This window comes from Homo sapiens, chromosome 5, assembly GCF_000001405.40.
Source record: "Homo sapiens chromosome 5, GRCh38.p14 Primary Assembly".
NCBI lineage: Eukaryota > Metazoa > Chordata > Mammalia > Primates > Hominidae > Homo > Homo sapiens.
Window position 1 is genome coordinate 153,989,304 of NC_000005.10, and position 20,639 is coordinate 154,009,942.

At 36.5% G+C, this 20,639-nt stretch overlaps 1 protein-coding gene across 15 annotated transcripts in view; it reads right to left on the bottom strand.

The window, feature by feature from the left end:
• Nucleotides 1–844: 844 nt before the first annotated feature.
• The window catches only part of FAM114A2 (family with sequence similarity 114 member A2), a 48,763-nt gene continuing 28,968 nt past the window's right edge, over nucleotides 845–20,639 (bottom strand). For 13 of the 15 annotated variants that reach the window (NM_001317995.2, NM_018691.4, NM_001317993.2 and 10 more), the window contains 5 exons: nucleotides 13,544–13,666; nucleotides 12,948–13,087; nucleotides 8,500–8,572; nucleotides 5,616–5,669; nucleotides 845–3,807 (listed from right to left, as the gene is read on the bottom strand). In NM_001317995.2, coding sequence (NP_001304924.1) covers nucleotides 3,673–3,807; nucleotides 5,616–5,669; nucleotides 8,500–8,572; nucleotides 12,948–13,087; nucleotides 13,544–13,666 — 525 coding nt within the window. In that variant the 3' untranslated portion in view covers nucleotides 845–3,672. Of the gene's footprint in view, nucleotides 3,808–5,615; nucleotides 5,670–8,499; nucleotides 8,573–12,947; nucleotides 13,088–13,543; nucleotides 13,667–20,639 lie in introns of those variants that run through there. The other 2 variants (XR_007058573.1, XR_007058574.1) reach the window with 1 other exon arrangement.

The window sequence follows — 20,639 nt, forward strand, 5'->3', positions numbered from 1 at the left end:
TCTGTATCTGTTCTTATAAGGGTAGGCCAGTCAGACACTTAAATGTCTGGTAAGTTCAACATTGACTTGTGAGGGTGAAGTGACAGCTATAATGAATCTTTCTTTGCTTTTAGCTCAAAGGACAAATGAGTTGAGAGAATATTCAGATTTTTAAAAAAATTGTCTTTAGGACTTGCCTGGGGAAATGATAATTAAACATGAAGGGCCTTTGGGATTTGGCTGGACGATACAGTAACAGGGAAGGATGGGCTTCAAGTTAAGTAGGGAGGACCGAATGAACTAGTGTTTGAGGAACATCAAGGATATACTCAGAGAGTCAGACCAGTGGGCAAGTTTTCAAAATTCTCTTCATACAGTTGCCAGAGGCCTTTATGACATGTTAACTAAGAGGCTTATTATTTTTAGAACTTTCTCATTTCTCAAATGCTTTTTAAGTCTTTTATGAAAAGAGATATCATGTGTTGTTAAGAAATAATAAAAGGGCCAGGCACAGTGGCTCACGCCTGTAATCCCAGCACTTTGGGAGGCCGAGGCAGGTGGCATCATCTGAGGTCAGAAGTTCCAGACCAGCCTGACCAACATGGAAAAACCCTGTCTCTACTAAAAATACAAAATTAGCCAGGTGTGGTGGCACACACCTGTAATCCCAGCTACTCGGGAGGCTGAGGCAGGACAATCACTTGAACCCAGGAGGCAGAGGTTGCGGTGAGCCGAGATCACGCCACTGCACTCCAGCCTGGGCAACAAGAGTGAAACTCCATCACACACACACACACACACACACACACACACAAAGAGATAATAAAACAGCTCAGTCTCTGACATTTGTGAAATATCACACTTGTTGAGTGCCCACTGTGGGTATAATTTTATTCTGGGTTTTCTAAACTGAAGAATTCAGGTTTAAAATTCAGAACACCTCTAGAAATACAGAAAAATGTCTATTTCTCAAATGGAGATATCAATAGCAACTACCTATAAAATAGCTCTCCCTCAAAAAGGTCTTTCACTAAAAACAAGTACAAAAGAAAGCATCCTTTTTCAGCAGTAGGAACCCACAAGATCTTGTTCTTTGATTACAGGATTGAAAAATTCACATTTGTACACCTAGCACTGATTTCAGATTCATAGTAATGCCATCTATAAAAATTACAATTTCACATTTCAGAGGCCTGCCAACCTGGATATCTATGCTTAAAAAAAAAAAAAAAAACTATCAAAAGCAAGTAAGGAAAATATAGCTTGTCCTTAACACATTTCTAAGGTATTATGCAAAGGAAAATAAAAATTGTTTCATAGAGGTTTCTACTTCTTTCAGATCAAATTAATAAAGTCTCTCTTAATCACAGCCTTTTAAAATCTCAATAGTAGGAAAAGACACATTTACCCTAGCAATACCTGAACATTTCACTTATTAAGGTTTTAAGTGAATTGGAAAGGCATATATTAGTAATTAGTGGTAAATCTTAGACACCAAAAATTTAAAAGGAAAATAGTACCAAAAGTGTAGCTGTTAACAAAAAACTAAAACACTGTAACTACCCCAAATAAAATAATGAAGCACATACTATCCAAAAACCATCACCATAATCCAGCAAGTTCCAAAGTGATCCCTGAATTTACCTACTCATCTGTCATGAATGTTTATGTTTCTCTATGTCTACTGGATCAAGGAATCTTAATTCTTTTTCAGTATATTTTATGTGAAGAGTAGACAATTGTTACTCAGAATTGGGCCTTTCATCATTTCACTAGTGGTCCCTAACTCCATTAAAATAAATAAATATATATGGGGGGGTGGGGAAGATGAGAAAAAAAGAGTTAGTGAGTCATATTTACCTTATGTGAGACCTAATCTAAAATTTGCCAAATTCAGGGCTGAAATCTGAATAGGTGTATAAAAAGAGTTGTTACTCTCTCCTTCATATGTATACCCCATTTCTTGAAAGAAAAACCTTAAATACATTTCTAGGTTAAGGATTTAAAGCTGCCAAACTGCCATTGTACAAGAGGCTGAACAGACAGTAGGCAGAGTGACCAGTTTCTAAACTTTGCCCTCAAGGGATACAGGTTCAGACACATCAACCAAGCTTGAGGCAACAATTCAGAACTGGTGACACCAGCCTTTGTAACCAGAAGGCAACTGTTTTTCTGAAACTTCAGAAATATTCAAGCTGGAAAGGGTGAAATTTGTCTTTAAAAAGGAATATTCAAAAACTTTCTGATCATATTAAGACAGAATATAGGCAGAGTAACATTGTAGTGCTGTTGGTATACCTTTTTAAACCAAATTTATTTCTCTTCCTTGCTTACTAACTGACTCCTGCCCCAAAGAAGATTACGTAGAAACAGTCTTTATACTAATCTATGTTATGGCTTTGCTTTGCTATTTTTTTTTTTTTTTTTTGGTCTAAGTAAGATATTAGGGCTCGTGTTTACAAAAGTAAATGAAAGGATCAAATAACATGATTAATACATTTTATTACAAAGGTTTTAGAAGATGAGGGGCAGAGCTAACAAATTACCTTAATCATTAAAAAACCACAAAGTTGGAGAATTTTTTTAAAAAGAGTGGATACCAAAATAGCTTTTAGGAAGACGACAGCTTAATAGTCTCTTAAATTGCTGAAGAGAGCAAAAGAAAGCTTAAGATCTGGAGGATAAAAGTTATATCAAAAACATGCTAAAGAATACATTAAAACAAACAAAAAGGAAAGAGGAAAAAATAAACTATGCCTTAGAAGTTAAATCCTATCATAAATGAACATCATTTCTAAAGGACTATGGCCCACTTCAACACTCAAACAAAAAAATCCTCATTGCTAAAACAGCTTCAACATTCCTTTGGAGTTTGCTGTTAAAGAATTTATCCTGCATATATGGTAGACACGAAACACATCCTGAAGAGACTCAGAATATCTGCAAACATAAAACTGCTTCTCTAAATTGCATTTACTGGCCTTGAATCCAGTAGAGTAGGGTTCAGCTATGACATGAAGTGTGTCATCCTGGGGAGGGGGAGCAATTTGAAGAAAAAGGGCACTTTGCTACAGTTAATTCACATGGCTATAATAGTCTACAAGTTTCTCCTCAATGCCAAATATCTACTAAGAATTTAAAAAAGCAGATGAAACTTTCTATTTCCAAGAATTCATGTGATAAAGGGTAATCATCACAGAGTTTACATATGCTCAGTTTTCTTAAAGCCATAGATTTTATTCCAGAAAGGAGAAAGTACATGGCATTAATAAACCACACATGCCATGAATTTTAGAACACTAAATTATTTTTCTCTGGCTTATCAACCAGTTATATCCATGGGCTGCAAATTATATCCATGACAAAATTGATAACATTTTGCAACATGTCAAAGAAAGACCAACATTTTTGCCTGAGTGTCCCACTAATCTTTATCTAGAGTTATTATTCTTGGACTTTCTACAAAAGTTTCTTTTCAAATAATTTATGAATTACAACAACTGGAAAGAATACTGTGAGAACCTGAATACTTCAATCAAACACTGAAGGCAACAATCTTCCTCTTTAAACCATCTCTCCTGCCTGAATTTTTATATACTAAAATAACCCCACTCCTTCATTTCTGCAGGAGTAGCCAGAATAAGGTGGCATTCCTTGGCCGTCACAAGTCCCAGGTCAAAACGTCTCCATTCTTCAATGTTCTAACAAAGGTTTCTGGCCCTGCAGCTCATGTCTGTGTGATTCAATCTTGTTCTCAATGAGAGAGATCTCTAGCACAGGTAAGAGTAGCTGAAAGGCGTCCTGGATGTAGGAGGCACTGTTTGATGCCTGCCAGGATTGAAAAAACAAGAAAAAGAAAATATTAGTTATTTAAAAGAGAAGATATACTGTAAGGCAACAGGGGAACAGATTAATTTTTGTAATCTAACTGAATTCATAGCCTGGCAAGTAAGAGCAGTGACTTGGCCATTTTGGTAAACTCTATTATAGGGAGAAGAATTTAGCTCTTAAGATGATATGAGCACCAAAAGAGAATGTCAGCATTTTGTACAACTTGCCCATCAGACATGGTAGCTTTTCTTTGGCAACATGGTCAGACTTGGCATTCAAAGCTTATTTATTCCTTTATTGAGTAGGGTAGATTCTGTCACAATATTGTGGTCAATTACTGAAAGAGGCTTTCAGAAGGCTATAAATCCTACACCTATAGAATTTCTAGCCCATTATGATAGCTCTTTTTCCATGGACTCAATGCGATCAGTGAGCACAATAACTGCTCACACACATAAACATCTTTCACACATATACTGCTTTCAAAGATGACAGTATAGATATATTTCTATCTTGAACAACATTTTTCAGAAGTGTTAGAGAATCATTACCCTCAGTTTGCTGGACTTCATTTATACTGAAAAGCCCTCACCTTTCAAAAGAATATCAACAGAGAGCTCATTAAGATAAAAATGTATAATTTCGAAGACAAGAGTGTTTCAAATCTGTATCCAAAAAAAAAATCCACTAAAAATAATAGGGAGCCCATATCAAGTGATATTACCTTTTTAAAATTTATCAATGGCAAGTACTATTTAAAATTCAGTGTGACATTTAATACTCAATTTCCCACACAAAAGGGACCTCAGATATCGTCTAGTTAAATCTCTTATGTTGCACATGAAAATAACGAAGTTTGTCAGAGTCACACAACAAATCAAGGAAGATCCAGGGCAACACGGGGCTCCTGGTTTACAAAGTCTTTTCTACTGCACCACTCTGCCATTTACTAAATCACAAACTTATATTTTTAAAAATTATTACAATGATCAAAATAGTTTCCCTGACTACTTGATTAAAACTGTGTAATTAAAGAATTAAAATCATTTCCTTGATGGTAATGTCAAAAGAATTTAAAACTAGAGAAGTAAGAGTTTGGTAGTTAAAACATTTTTTCAATTAACATCTAAAACTTAACTATCAAATATATTTTCTCCCCCCAGACTTACATAAACATGTTTTAAACAAATCATCAAAAAGTCTATGTTGTCTGCACAGTTAGTTTACAAGGTAGAGTTCTTAAAACATGGAATCCAGAAAACATCACATAGGGAGGTAATATAATCAGTCACAGGATCCTCTTTTCCATTGACTTAAACCATCTACCTTCTCAAATCTAATGGAATGATGAGGATAATGTAAACACTACCTTTCTGACAAAACAAAGCATGATTTCCTGGCAAGGAAATGACAACATGTTTTGTTTTGTAACAAACCTCTGCATAAACTTTAGTCCTAAATTAGGAAGCAGTGCTTACCTGTTTATAATTTTCAGCCCTTCATGTTTACCAGCTGGTATTCAGAAGGTGTTTCATTACTGTGAACCGTCCATTAAGCTGTCAAGGATTAGTACTAAGTAATGACAATCTACTGCTTCTTCCAGTACCCTGCAGCTTCAACTGTATGCTTTCTAATTAATAAGGAAGGAATACACATCAAATATACACTATTTCTGTCATATCTACATCAATATGGCTAAACTACCAATATGGTGAATAAAATAAAAAAGCCAAAAGCAAAAGGCTTCAGAAGAGTTAATTATACGTAATACCTTTGGAGTCAGAGACTTAAAAACAATTACTAACCTCTAGAAATACTGCAGTGATTAATGGGTTAAGGACATCTGCCATTTCTTTGACCTGGAATAACGAATACATTTTTAAGTGAGCAGAGTAGGTTAAATAACAGTAAGTGGAGTACGATCACACTTTAAAACACACACACACACCCATACATAAATATTAAATATAAGCACAGAAGTCTGGACTGAGAGCAAAATGTCATCTTTAGAATGGAAATTCTAAGTGTTTTAAACTTCTTTCTTAATATCTTTCTGTGCTATCCATATTGACAGTGTATTGTTTTATACCTTTTTATTGACTTTAAAAAGTATCTTCATTTGACCACAAAACCTTAGAACCATTTTAAAACAAAACATGTAGATATGGAACATGTGCTCAAAAAACTCAAGGGTCTTTAACACAAGCTGTTTAGAAAAATCTTACAAATAAATAATGTAAATTTAATACTTGTATGTGTCAGCATCTTATAGTTGATATGCTGGCTTAAAGTATCTTTATGGAACACACAGAAAGATTTGGCCTTGTAAGATTAACTTCAGGAAACCCAGATCCTTTTGTCAAGAAAATACTACAGGGAAAAGTGAAGCTGTACCAAAAGATTATCCTTTACAGGAATAATCTAAACTCAAATTTTAAAAAATTAACTTAGGCCATGGTCTTAATTAAAACAAATGTAATGTTCATGACTAGGGCTTTAAAATAAATAAATAAATAAAATTTAAGAACCCACAGTAATTTTGCTGCTACACTGACACTGATATACTTACTATAAAGTAATTTTCATTTGCTTGTTTAAAATGCTCTTGATTTTATCCCAACTCATTATTACTGGTTTCTCAATCATCTTCCATAGCTCACACATCTTCATAAATTTTTACAATTCCAATTTTTAAAATCCCCAAAAGACTTTAGCTTTAACTACTTCTCTCCCACCGGCTGGCAACTGCATACTGTGAGCACTGCCATAGTCTAAGTACAGAGTTGCTCTTTAAAACCAGAGTCAAAATCTGAAGTTTGAATTTTATCAAGGTCTATATTTCCATTATAGGTCTCAGAAGATAGCATAAAAAATACTGAAAACTTCATAAACAGAAGAAAACAAAAATTAATTAGAATTAGACATAGACAAGCTGATCCTAAAAGTCATATGAAAATGCACAAGGCCCCAAGCAGTCAAAAAATCTTGAAAATAAGAACAAAGTTGGAGGACTTACACTTCTTGATTCCAAACCTACTACAAAACTACAATATCAAGACGATATGACACTGGCATTTGGATAAACATACAAATTAATGGACTAAAAATCAGAGTCCAGAAACAAACCCATATATCTATGGCCAACTGATTATCAACAAAGAAGCCAAGAGAATTTAACGGAGGAAAGAACAGTCTTTTCAACACATAGTACTGGAACAAACGGATATCCATATGCAAAAGCATGAAGCAGGGCCCCCTACCTTACACCATACACAAAAATTAACTCAAAATGGATCACAGACATAAATGTAAGGGCTACAACCAAACTTTTAGAAGAAAACAGAGGAGTAAAATTTCACTGCAAAGGACACGATCAAAAAGCGAAATGACAACTCATGGACTTGGAGAAATACGTTCCCATCAAAAATCTGATAAGAAACTTGTACTAGGAAAATTAAAAAAAAAAAAAAAAATCTCCTACAAGTAATAATAAAAACACAAACAACCCAAGTTTTAAAACAAGTAAACTGCTGAAATAGATATTTCTCCAGAGAAGCCAGACAAATAGCCAACCAGCACATTAAAAGATGTTCAACATTGGCGCTGGGCACGGTGGCTCATGCCTGTACTCCCAGCACTTTGGGAGGCCAACGCAGGTGGATCACCTAAGGTCGGGAGTTCGAGACCAGCTTGGCCAACATGGTGAAACCCTGTCTCTACTAAAAATACAAAAATTGGCTGGGCATGGTGGCAGGTGCCTGTAATCCCAGCTACTTGGGAGGCAGAGGCAGAAGAATCACTTGGACCCAGGAGGCAGAGGTTGTAGTGAGCTGAGATCATGCCATTGCACTCCAGCCTGGGTGACAAGAGCAAAACTTAAAAAAAAAAAAAAAAAAAGAAAGAAAGAAAAAAAGATGTACATTAGGGAAATGTAAATCAAAACCACAATGAGATACTATTTCATACCCACTAGGATGGCTAAAATAAAAACAAACAATAAGTATTAGCAAGGATACGAAGAAACTGGAACCCTTACACACTGCTGGTGAGAATGTAAAACTGTGCAGCCAATTTGGAAAACAGTTTGGTAATTCCTTAATGACCCATATCACCCATATGACCCAGCAATTCCACTCCTAGCTATCTACCCAAGAGAAATGGAAACATATTCACATAAAAACATACATGCATGTTCATAGCAACATTATTCATTATAGCCAAAAAGCAGAAATAATCCAAATGTCTACTAACTGATGAACAAATAAAATGTGATATATATCCATAAGACAGATTTTTTGGTAATAAAAAGTATTAATACATGCTACAATGTGGATAAGCCTCAAAAACACTATGCTAAGTGAGGGAAACCAAACACAAAATACCACATATTGTTTAATCCCATTTATGTGAAAGATGCAAAGCAGCCAAATCTATAGAGAAAGAAAGCAGATTCATGGTGCGTAGGGCTGGGGAAATGTGGAGTGAAAGGGAATGGGGATTGTACGAGTTTTGGGGAAGGCTGATGAAAATGTTTTAAAATTAGACTATGGAAATGGCCGCGCAACTCTGTAAATATACTAAAAACTAAAAACTATTGAATTGTACACTTAAAGTGAGCAAATTTTATGATATTTAAACTGCTAAAGAAACCAGACAAACATTATTGCAGTAAGAGGCATGGATTCTTACCCCAGCAGTTGTTAGGCAGGTAGTGAACTCTTTAGACAGAGAGGACAACTCTTTACACAACACAATTGTCATCCTAGGAAAGAAAGGAAAAGTCAGAAACGTTTTTTCTTTTTTTAAAAAAATAAGTTATATTTAACAATTGTCAGAAGAGAACAAATCACTTCTGGTACTAAATGTGAAAGAAGAAAGCTTTTCAAGGGAGTAAATACAGTATCCCCCCCTTATCTGTGGTTTCACTTTTTGCAGTTTCAGTTACTCATGGTCAACAATGATCTGAAAATAATAAATAAAAAATTCCAGAAATAAATAATTCATAAGTTTTTAATTGCACATCATCTTGAGTAGTGTGATGAAATCTCTCATTGTTTTCTCCATCCCACCCAGGACATGAATCATCCCTTTGTCCAGCATATCCACAGAACCCACTCATTAGTCAGCTATTAATATTAGCCATCTCGGTTATCAGACTGACTGTTGTGTTATCACAGTGCTTATGTTCAAGTAACCCTTATTTTACCTAATAATGGCCCCTGCTATGGTTTTGATATGTCCCCTCTAAAATTCATGTTGAAATTTGATTCCCAACATGGCAGTATTAGGAGGTGGGACCAAGTGGTAGGTGCCCTCATGAACAGATTAATGCAATATCACAGTAGTCAGTGAGTTCTCACTCTGGGGGGAATAAATTAGGTCCCAGAGAACACGTAGTTATAAAGCAAGTCCAGTCTTTCATGCAGGTCTCTTTGCACACATCCATTTGTCTTTCTGCTTCTTTACCATGTTGTGGAGCAGTACATGGCCCTCACCAGAAGTCAAGCAGATGCCACTGCTATGCTCTTGGACTTTCTAGCCACCAGAATCATGAGCCAAATAAGCCTCTTTTCTTTGTAAATTACCCAGCCTCAGATATTCTGTTACAGTAACAGACTTTCTAGCCACCAGAATCATGAGCCAAATAAGCCTCTTTTCTTTGTAAATTACCCAGCCTCAGATATTCTGTTACAGTAACATTAAATGGGCTAAGGCAGACCCAAAGCCCAAGAGTTGTGATGCTGGCAATTCAGATATGCCAAAGAGAAGCTATAAAGTGCTTCCTTGAAGTGAAAAGGTAAAAGATCTTCACTTAGTAAGAAAAACAAAAACATATGCTGAGGCAGCTAAATCTACAATAAGAATGAATTTTCTATCCGTAAAACTGTGAGAAGGAGAAAGAAATCATGCTAGTTTTGCTGTTGCACCACTAACTGCAAAAGTTATAGTAACAGTGTGTGATATGTACTAAGATGAAAAAAAGCAAACTACTCATCTGACAGGAGACTAATATCCAGAATATACAAGGAACTCAACAATAAAAGAAAATCTCATTAAAAAATGGGCAAAGGACATGAATAGACATTTCTCAAAAGAAGACATACAAATGACCAACAGATACACGAAAAAATGCTCAACATCACTGATGTATCAATCATCAGGAAAATGGAAATCAAGACCACAGTGAGCTATCATCTCACCCCCGTTAGAATGGCTATCATTATTAAAAAGACAAAAAATGGCTGGGCATGGTGGCTCATGCCTATAATCCCAGCACTTTGGGAGGTCAAGGCAGGTGGATCACTTGAGGTCAGGAGTTTGAGACCAGCCTGGCCAACATGGTGAAACCCTGTCTCTACTAAAATACAAAAATTAGCTGGGCATGGTGTGCACGCTTGTAATCCCAGCTACTCAGGAGGCGGAGGCAGAAGAATCACTTGAACATAGGAGGCAGAGGTTGCAGTGAACGAGATTGCGCCACTGCACTCCAGCCTGAGTGACACAGCAAGACTCCATCTCAAAAAAAAAAAAAAAAATTGATGCTGGCAACAATTCCAAGAAAAGAGAATTCTTATACATTGTTAGAATGTAAATTAGTACAACCACTATGAAAACCAGTATGAAGATTTTTCAAAAAATAAAATGGAACTACCAAACTACTGGGTATTTAGCCAAAGGAAAATAAATAAATAAATTATATCAAAGGGATACCTGCACCTGCATGTTTATTGCAGCACTATTCACAACAGCAAAGATATAGAATTAACCTAAGTCAGTTGAAAAATGGATAAAGAAAATGTGGTGTGTATGCGTGTGTGTGTATATATGTATGTGTGTGTATATATATGTGTGTGTATATATGTATATGTGTATACACACACACATATAATGGAATACTATTCAGCTATTTAAAAAAAATGTCATTTGCAGCAACATGGATAGAACTGCAGGTCACGAGGTTAAGTGAAATAAGCCAAGCACAGAAAGACAAACACCTCATGTTCTCACTCATATGTGGGAGCTAAAAAAACATGATCTTACGGAAATAGAGAACAGAACAATTGTGATACCAGAAATGGGGAAAGGTGGGTGCGTGAGTGGGTGGGGATGAAGAGAAGTTGGTTAATGAGTACAAACATACAGTTAGATAGAAAAAAATAAAGTCTAATGTTTGATAGCAGAATAGGGTGACTATACTTAGCAATAATATTTTGTATATTTCAAAATAATGTAAAGCACTTGAAATGATACCAACATATAGACATAATAAATACTCAAGGTGATGAATACCCCAAATACTCTGACTTCATCATTATACATTCTATGCATATAACACTCACATGTACCCCATATATATATATTATGTATCAGTAAAATATTTTTTAAAAAGACGGAAAAGGCATTAAATTTGTGGGTGGAAGACATGAATGGAAATGTGTTCCAAATGACGGCAATCAAGTTTGGTACTATCCACAGTTTCAGGAATCCACTAGGGACTTAAAACATAACCCATACAGATAAGGGGTTACTACTGTATGCCTAAATCAGCCACCTGAGGTATAAGAAGACCCATCTGAGCAGGCACTCATGCTACATAAAAAGGAAGTTCAGTCCTTAGAAAAACATTTCTCTACAAAATTCTCTAGAAAGCAGTATATGTTCCAGTTAAATCAAATAGAAAATAATTAAAATACATTTTAAGGAGACAACATCATACTCAAAATACCCTACATTCCATTTAGAAAAGTTAAAATATGTATTAATTAATTCTCAGTTCTTAATAATAGTTATTAGTTATTAGTTATTAGTTACTGGGTGCTAATTTTATGCCAGGCACCATGCTAAGGGATTTACATGTATCATTTCTAATTTTTACAACAACTCCAAAAGTAAGTGATTAGTCCATCTTTAATAATAGTTACCTAAAGTCTTGTGTGTGCCAGATTTTATTTAAAGTCTTTCAAGCAATGGGAACATATCAGTGAACAAGAAAAGTCCCAGTTTTCATGGATTTCAACTTACTTGCTAAATTAAGGGGGAGACTATATACATATACATATATACACATACACACATATGTATACATATACACACATATATATTCATATACATGTAAGTCCTACTTGGTGATATAAGCTAAGACAATAAAGCAGAGTAAAAGGACAGAGAATGGTGGAAGTTGCTATTTTAGACTTTGTGGTGAAGGAAGGCTTTTCTAAAAAGGTGGCATTTGAGTAGACTTGAATTCAGAGAGGGAGTGAACCCCATTTCAAAGAACATTCCAAGTAGCAGAAATAGCCTCTTTTCCGCAGAACAGGCTCCTTTTAGGGTTGTGAGTCTCTCATCCTTAAGGAAGTTCAAGAAGACAAATTAGCCCCCTATTATGGGGTGCTGTAGTGGGATGGTGATGGTGCAAGTAAAGAGGAAGTCTGCAGAAGACTGACAGCCCCTCCCAGTTCTAATAATGGGCACTCTTATACATTTGTTTCCAATGAAAATTCTCATTATTTTAATCAGGACATTTGCTTAGAAACTACTGGGCTTTTTCTTCCCTACCTATGATTATCTATACTATTTTTGAAAAATTTTTGTACAAATCAGCAATAAAATGAGAAAAAAAGAATGGGTTCAGGACACTCAGTCAGACCTGGGGCTAAATCCCAGGCCATACAGCACAGACAGATTACTTAACTCCTCCAGTTTGCATTTCCTCATGATTAAAACTGGACTAATTACTTACTTTTGGAGGTATAAAAATTAGAAATTATACATGCAAATCCCTTAGCATGGCACTTGGAATGGTATAAAATTAGCACTCAATAATAACTATTATTAAGAACTGAGGTTCTTAGAACTCTTCTCTGTTTTCACTTATACCAAATTCCATTCCTATTAAAACTTATCTGTAAAGAAATAGTCTTCAGAGCATGAGTTGGTTAATAAAAAGGGCATATTTATAATATTGATTTATCATGGTTCAATGAAAAGAAAAAAACAACCAAAATGAACAAACCATCTAATATGTGGATGGGTGTGACGTGAATGGTTTCTTGAGAGAGACGTTTATAAAACTTTGGAAACAGGCCAAGAAAACTCCTGCAATTTGCATCATTTAGAGGAATTCTCATTACACTTACTGGGAAAGAGTTTGGCTCCTTTCTATGGCTGTCACTTCCTGCTTCCTGCCATGCAGAACCAATGCAGCTGTTTTGTGGAATAGTTCAATTGAGCAGGCAGTCAGTTCAGCCAGGCTCCGGATTGCAAACGCATGGATATCCTGGATGGAAAAACAAAACAAAGCATAGCAAAACAAAACATTTGGTGGAAAGATACCACCTTACTTCTCTCATACTACAGGATTTGTAGCAGAGACTAATAGTTGCCTTCCAATAAAGAGTGTCTTCTTCTTCCACAGTAGTGATATAATTTTACAGCTGGGCTCCCCTGAAGTCAGGTGTGACGAAGTAACTAAGTTTTGGCCAAATGATTTAGATAACAAGTGTCAGGCAGCAGTTTCTGGGAACCTTCCTCATGACAAAACACACGCGCATCCTTTCTCTCTTTTTTTCTTCACTCCTCCTTTAATCTTATAGTCTGGATCTAAGATGCTACAATCCTAGATCACAAGGTTGAAATTACGGACAGCAGTGTAAAAATAGGAGCCTGGGTCCCTGATTGTGACACATTTCAAATCTACTAAAACAAACAAAAAAGGCTTAGTTGCTTTGGCTACCTCTATTGAATTTTTGTTGACTTGCTCAGTATTTTCTGCTTCCGACTGTTTTTCTCCTTCTTCATTCTCTGCTAATGGCTTGGTCAGAGACTTCCTGATCCATTCGTGGGCGGTATTTCTTGCCTAAATAAGAAAAATATTGGCCATCAACAATTCAATTCAGTTTACCAAAATTACTGTGCACCTACCAGGAACACAATAGCATCCTAGAAGTAAGGGCTCCTGTTCTTACCTGAACGTACCATCTAGCTTTTCAGTCCTTATCCTACTAGTCTCAGCAATACTTATCACTGTGGTCCATCATTCCTTTTCAAAATTCTCTAATTGGTAGTATTTTTTTTTTTTTTTTGAGATGGAATTTCGCTCTTGTTGCCCAGGCTGGAGTGCAATGGCACAATCTTGGCTCACTGCAACCTCTGCCTCCTGGGTCCAAGCGATTCTCCTGCCTTAGCCTCCCGAGTAGCTGGGATTACAGGCGCCCACCACCACGCCCAGCTAATTTTTGTATTTTTAGTAGAGACGGGGTTTCGCCAGGTTGACCAAGCTGGTCTCGAACTCCTGACCTCAGGTGATCCCCCTGCCTCAGCCTCCCAAAGTGCTGGGATTACAGGCATGAGCCACTGCGCCCGGCCTCTAATCAGCTTTTTAAAAAACCAAGGTATAATTTACATAAAGTGCACAAATCTTCAGAGTATGGCTTAAGAAATGTTTTTATGTGTATATGCCTACGAAACCGTGATCAAGATATAGAATATTTCCTCATCCCTAGAAGGTCCCTTCATGTCCCTTCCTAGCCAATACTATTCAAACCATGTCCCCCTCCTCCTGCCCAAAGACAAACCCTCTTCTGCTCACTATAAATAATTTTTCCTAATCTTAAAATGCATAAAAATAGAAATATAAGTTCATTCTAATTTGTGTCTGGCTTAAGCACAACATAATGTCTGTTAGATTTATCCATGTTGCTGCATGTATTAGTTCATTCATATTAACTGCTGTGTAGTATTTCATTTTATATACAGTCATGCACCACATAATGATGTTTGGGTCAACAGCAGACCACATATATAATGGTGGTCCTGTAAGACTGTAATACCATATTTTTACTGTACCTTTTCTATACCATTGTGTTGCAACTGCCTACAGTATTCAGTACTGTAACATGCTGTACAGTTTTGTACAGGAGCAATAGGTTAAACGATATAGCCTAGGTGTGTAACAGGCTACATCAGCTAGGTTTGTGTAAGTACACTCTCTGATATTCGCCCAATGACAAAACTGCCTAATGATGCAGTTCTCATAACATATCCTCATCATTAAGCAATGCATGATTGTATATATCACAATTTATCCATTCTCCTGATAATGAATCTAGTTTTCTTTGGTTTTTGTAACCCCAACTTTCTTCTGTTCTCCTCTGACCTTTATGACCATTTCTCCTCAGTATCTTTTATATATTGATCCTAACTGGCCAGTCTCTTAAACGCCAATATTATTTGGAGGTCTAGCCTTCACTCTTTACTCGTCTCATCCTATTCCCTCTCCATCCATCCTATGCCAGTGGTTTCAACTATCCTCAACCTGCTGTTGACTCTTAGATCCTTATTTCTAGACCTGACCTCTCCTGAAAACTTATTCCAAATGTCTGCTAGACAAAATACTCTGCAGGCATCACACATACAACAAATAAAAACTTTGAACTCATTGTCTTTCTCTTCTTACCCCAAATTTTTCAACCTCTTTTATTTCCCAAAGTTTTAGAGGTGCCACCAGGTACCAGTTACCTGAGCCAAAATATAGGGGCCATCTTAGATTTTTTTCCTCTCCAACCAATCACCAAGATGGTCTGATTTTATCCAAGCCCCTCATCATCCTCTTCCCGTCTTCCTCCTCCCTATTACCACTACTTGAGTTCAGATCCACTTCATGACTGGTCTCTCTGCTTCTGATCTGTTTATCTTAAATCTATCTTCCAAAATGCTACCAGTGATCTGTCTTAAGCCCAGGGCTGACCATTCCTCTTTCCTTCAATGGCTCCTCATCAACTAGATCATGCTCTTTACATGATGTAACAGGTCTCCATGACCTAGACCCTACCTACTTTTCCAGCCTCATCTCTTATCATTTTCCACTTTATCTTCTGGTAAGAATGACCTCTACTGTACTTGTTCTTTCAATCCTCTACCCAGACATCATCTCTTTCAGGTAACTTAAATTCAGAACTTAACCAAATATAGTAGAATTATCTGTTTCCTAACTAAACTATGTATTATAGGATAGCTAGAGAGTGTTTTATTTGGCTTTGCACACCCAGTGTCCAGCACACTGTGAAGAACATCTACTGTTTTGGATATGGATATGACCAGCACCCATATCTCCTTTCTTTTGGTGGCAGGTTCTAGATTCTCCTTAGTTCATGTGACCTGGGTGCAGCTGCTTCCATCTTTTGGCTCCAAAAGTTGGCAAACCATTCAGATTTAGCTACTGAGAATACTAATACCCCTGTCCACAGAGTAAGTGGTGCATAGATTAAAAAGTAACCCAAGCCAGATCAATGGACATCAGTCTCAGGACATCTGGTAAAATTATCAGCAAAAAGAAGTGTTCTTTCAGTAAGAGTTACCGAAATGGAAAAAAGTCACCCACCCTGAAGCTGCCAATGGTCATTTTACCACCATATGGAAAAGCTTCCCTAAGAATGAAGCCAAAACAAAAAGGAAGCAAGCCGAAAGACACAGATAGGGATAGAGATAGGTTCCTGAATAGAGCCATGCCTGAAGCCAGTTCTGCTCCTTGATTTTCTATTTTCTTGAGCTACTGAATTCCCCTCTTTTAAATTAGTTTCTGTTATTTTTTAAGTTTCTTAACTTGAGTTTCTGTCATTTGCAAGTGAAAGAGTCCTGGTTTCTCAGAAACTGTTTATTACCACCTAGTTTATTAACTTTACATACACAGAATGTGTTCAAAGCTGTCATGAGGTAATAGGAATCCAGAGAAGACTTTGAGAGTCATTCTAACTGAGAAAACAGGTTTTATTACACATACAGTACTGGAGTTAGGCCTTGAAGGATCAGCAAGTGGGGCTACACCCAAGGCTACCCGAATGAGCTAAAGCAGACCTGTGTTCCCAGAATTTCACTGTAGGGTTCTTTCCCTATATCCTCCCACAAAAACATTCAGGAACAATCTAGCTCTGATCTATACCTTCCCATTACTTAAGCATTAACCTCTCAAATTCAAAACACCAAACAGCATGAACTATATAAAGGCTTGGAAACAGAAAAATGCAAAGTGTGTAGGCAAACAGTGAGATATCTAGCAAGACCAAAATATAGGATACTGGCATTTTACTCATTCATTTATTGCAAATATATACTAACACTGTGCCAGTGCTGGGGATTCAATGGTGAATAATACAAACTAGGAGTCTGCTCTTCTCTCTCCTAATAAGGCAATTAGCAAGCAAACAAACAAAAACATACATAAAGAAAATAAAATGGAGTAACGGTGGGTATGGGTAGAAGGTGGCTTGAGTTTGGGTGGTCAGGAAGGGTCTCTGAAAAGTTATGTTTCAGCTGAAATCTGAAGGAATTGGCCATACAAATAGTTAGGCAAAGAGAGTTGTAAGCACAGGGAAATCAGCTTGGTACACCTGAGAAACAGAATAAAGGCCAGTAAGGAAGAATATAGAGGATGAGGAGTGTGACAGAAAATTAGGTTGGAGTAGTGAGGTTTACAGAAGAGAACACTGAGAGATGAGGCTGGAAAGAATCATAACAGTTGACTAATAATACAAACAATATGTTAAATTCTTTGCAATATCTTTGAAGAGACAAATTGAGTAAAAAAATGAAGGATTAATTTATCAGAGATTAAAAAAGAAAAATGGAGAGTGATAGACCACATAAAAGAAAAAACGGATACCATAAATTTAATATACCCAAAGGAGATTTTTTTTTTTTTTTTTTGAGATGGAGTCTCACTCTGTCGCCCAAGCTGGAGTGCAGTGGCATGATCTCAGCTCACTGCAACCTCTGCCACACTGGTTCAAGCTATTCTCCTGCCTCAGCCTCCCGAGTAGCTGGGATTACAGGCACCTGCCACTGCGCCTGACTAATTTTTGTAGTTTTAATACAGACGGAGTTTCACCATCTTGGCCAGGTTGGTCTTGAACTCCTGACTTCATGATCTACCCACCTTGGCCTCCCAAAGTGCTGGGATTACAGGCGTGAGCCACCGCGCCTGGCCAGGAGATATTTTAGTAGGCATAGAGCATACCCAAAGTGACCTCTCTTGTAATAAATATATTAAGTGAAATCATCATGAACTATTGTGCCAACTCAAGGTAATTTATTATCCTTTCCCAAAATAATTAATGTCATCCACGACCACATTTCAGTCTGGAACTTCCCACTTGTTGAGATCTGCAGATCTCAATAGGTACCTTTGAACTTGGCTTCTCCAAAAGCTTATTTATTTCCAACAGAAAAATAATGAGGCCCACAGAAGAAAATGAATTTGCCCCAGGCCACACCACATGTGAGTATTAGAACAAGAATCAGAATCACAGAATCATATTCCCGGACTCCTAATTCAGTGCTCTTTCCCCTACATCACAGCCTGCCATATAAATCTTTTGAGGGCCAATGGTTAAGGCCTTGATCCTTAACCAATCTACATCTTAAGTCTCAATGCCTAAAATTTAAACAATCTGAAGATTGCTTTCAGAGAATGGCGAGAACTGCCAGACAGATAAGGAGTTACTGGCCTTACAAAAATACGTATTAATGTGATCTCTCATTAAGCATGTAAACTATGTCTTTTTCATGATTATTTCCCTAGCACCTAGCAAATTACTAAGCATAATAAAGGTTTATTGAACACATATGTATATTTATTGAACAGCTACATGTAGAGGACATCGGGCTGTCTTCTGTGGAGCCATCAACAGTGAGCATTTATTTACTATGAGCCAGGCCCTTTGTAAGAGCTATGTGTGTGAACACATTTAAACCTCACAGGAACTCTACATTATTACAACTCACCTCACAGATAGAAAAAAATGAGGCTCACAGAGGTCAAGCAATTTGCCAAAGGTCACACAGAAAGTAATAGGTAGTAGAGCTGGAATTTTAAGGAGTAGGTATGTACAGATCCTGCCTTCAAGAAATTTAAGCTTCAGGATAGGAGGTAAGATACACATATTTTTTAAAAACTATAATAAATTTATAAAAATACCTATGCACAAGGCTAAGTGAAAAAAGCAGAGCGCTAAAGAACAAATATAGTATGTTGACTTTTCCATCAGAGGAGATAAGAAAATATATCTGCTTATCTTTACAAAAAGAAACTCAGGAAGGATAAGCCAGAAACAAGAAAGATGAATACCTATAAAAACAGGTGAATGGAGTGGAAGGGGAGTGGGATGGAGAGACCTGAGTATATTTTTTGTGCAGTTTGATTTTTGGAAGCGTATTAATACTGTACATATTCAAAAATAAAATTAACACATAGGGCAGCAAATAAAACAATTTTTTGTAGGTTACTTTTGTAGTACAGGTCAAGTATCCCTTATATGAAAATCCAAAATTCTCCAAAATTTGAAATTTTTTGAGTGCCAACATGATGCCACAAATGAAAAATTCCACACCTGACCTCATATGATGGGTTGTAGTCAAAATGAATTGAAAATTTTGTTTCATGCACAAATTTTTTTAAAATATTGTATAAAATTATCTTCAGACTATGTGTATAAGGTATACATGAATATAAATGAATTCTGTAATTAGACTTGGATTGTACCCTCAAGATACAGCACTATATGTGTATGTGTGTGTGTGTGTGTTTATTTGTGTGTGTATGCAAATATTCCAAAATCCAAACAAAAATCTGAAATCTGAAACACTTCCCTGTTCCAAGCATTTTGGATAAGGGATACTCAATCTATAGTATAGGCAAAGCAATAAAACCATTTCAGATACATCTCATAATTAAGGAAATGTGCTAATATTGTTGGGAGACAAGGTTCCTACTGTAGAAGGGAGATACAAATGTGTAATGGGGAAAGGCAAGGAAAAACCCTGTAGGGATGGATTAAAATTGGAGTTATACTGTGTGTGAAGTCATGATTTCTAAAATACATATAGGTGTACACGTGCACATATGTATCTACAAACATAACACATATAGGTGTATATGTACCTGAGTATATTTTCCAGCTCTGCTGACAGCCTAGAATCAAAGCCATGCCAGTGGCAATGAGTACACTTAGTACTCATGTCTTGGTCTATAAAACCAAAAGGGAATGAATCATGCTTTCTCAAAGAAATGTCTGGTTGCAGGGCTGGGGCACAGAAGGCATAAGATGAGTCTAGAATATCTTGTTATGCCAGAAAATAAGGAAGCACCCAAAAATGATGGAGGCATGCCACCTAGGAGCCAGCTTGAAAGACAAATTTGAACATCAAAATAATTAAGGACAGTGATGAATTACAAGCCAATGGGGGAAAAGCAGAACTCCATGAAAGCATACTGATAACAAATTAAAAAAAGAACAAAATGGGGGAGAAAGGAGAGGTCATGACTATTCTAGAATGCTGAAAGCCAACTGGTAAATCTTCACATTAAATATTGGTGCCAGAATCATAAATAAATGCTAGATTTAGAAGAGAAATTATGATGAATAGCAGGATATTTGTATGGTCTTACAGTATCTCCTCACAGAAAGTTTATTAGCAAGATAGGAAAATAAACTTTAACTGTACAGAACAAAATCAGACAACACATCACCAATAAGGGGCAGATGGATATCATGTACCTTTAGATGTGATACCCTGGGCAGGACACACCATCACTTATGGAGTATTTTGGCCAGGAATGTATAAACTGACATTAATCATGAGAAAGCATTAGAGAAACTCCAAAGCTTGTTTTTCAAAAACACCAACGTCATAAAAGACAAAAAGACAAAAAAAGACTGAAGAACTATTTTAGATTAAAGGAAACTAAAAGTACATGGCAACTAAATACAATCTGTGATCATGTACTGGCTCCAGTGGTAGAGGAAAAAGTTTGGTATTATTGGACATTATTGGGT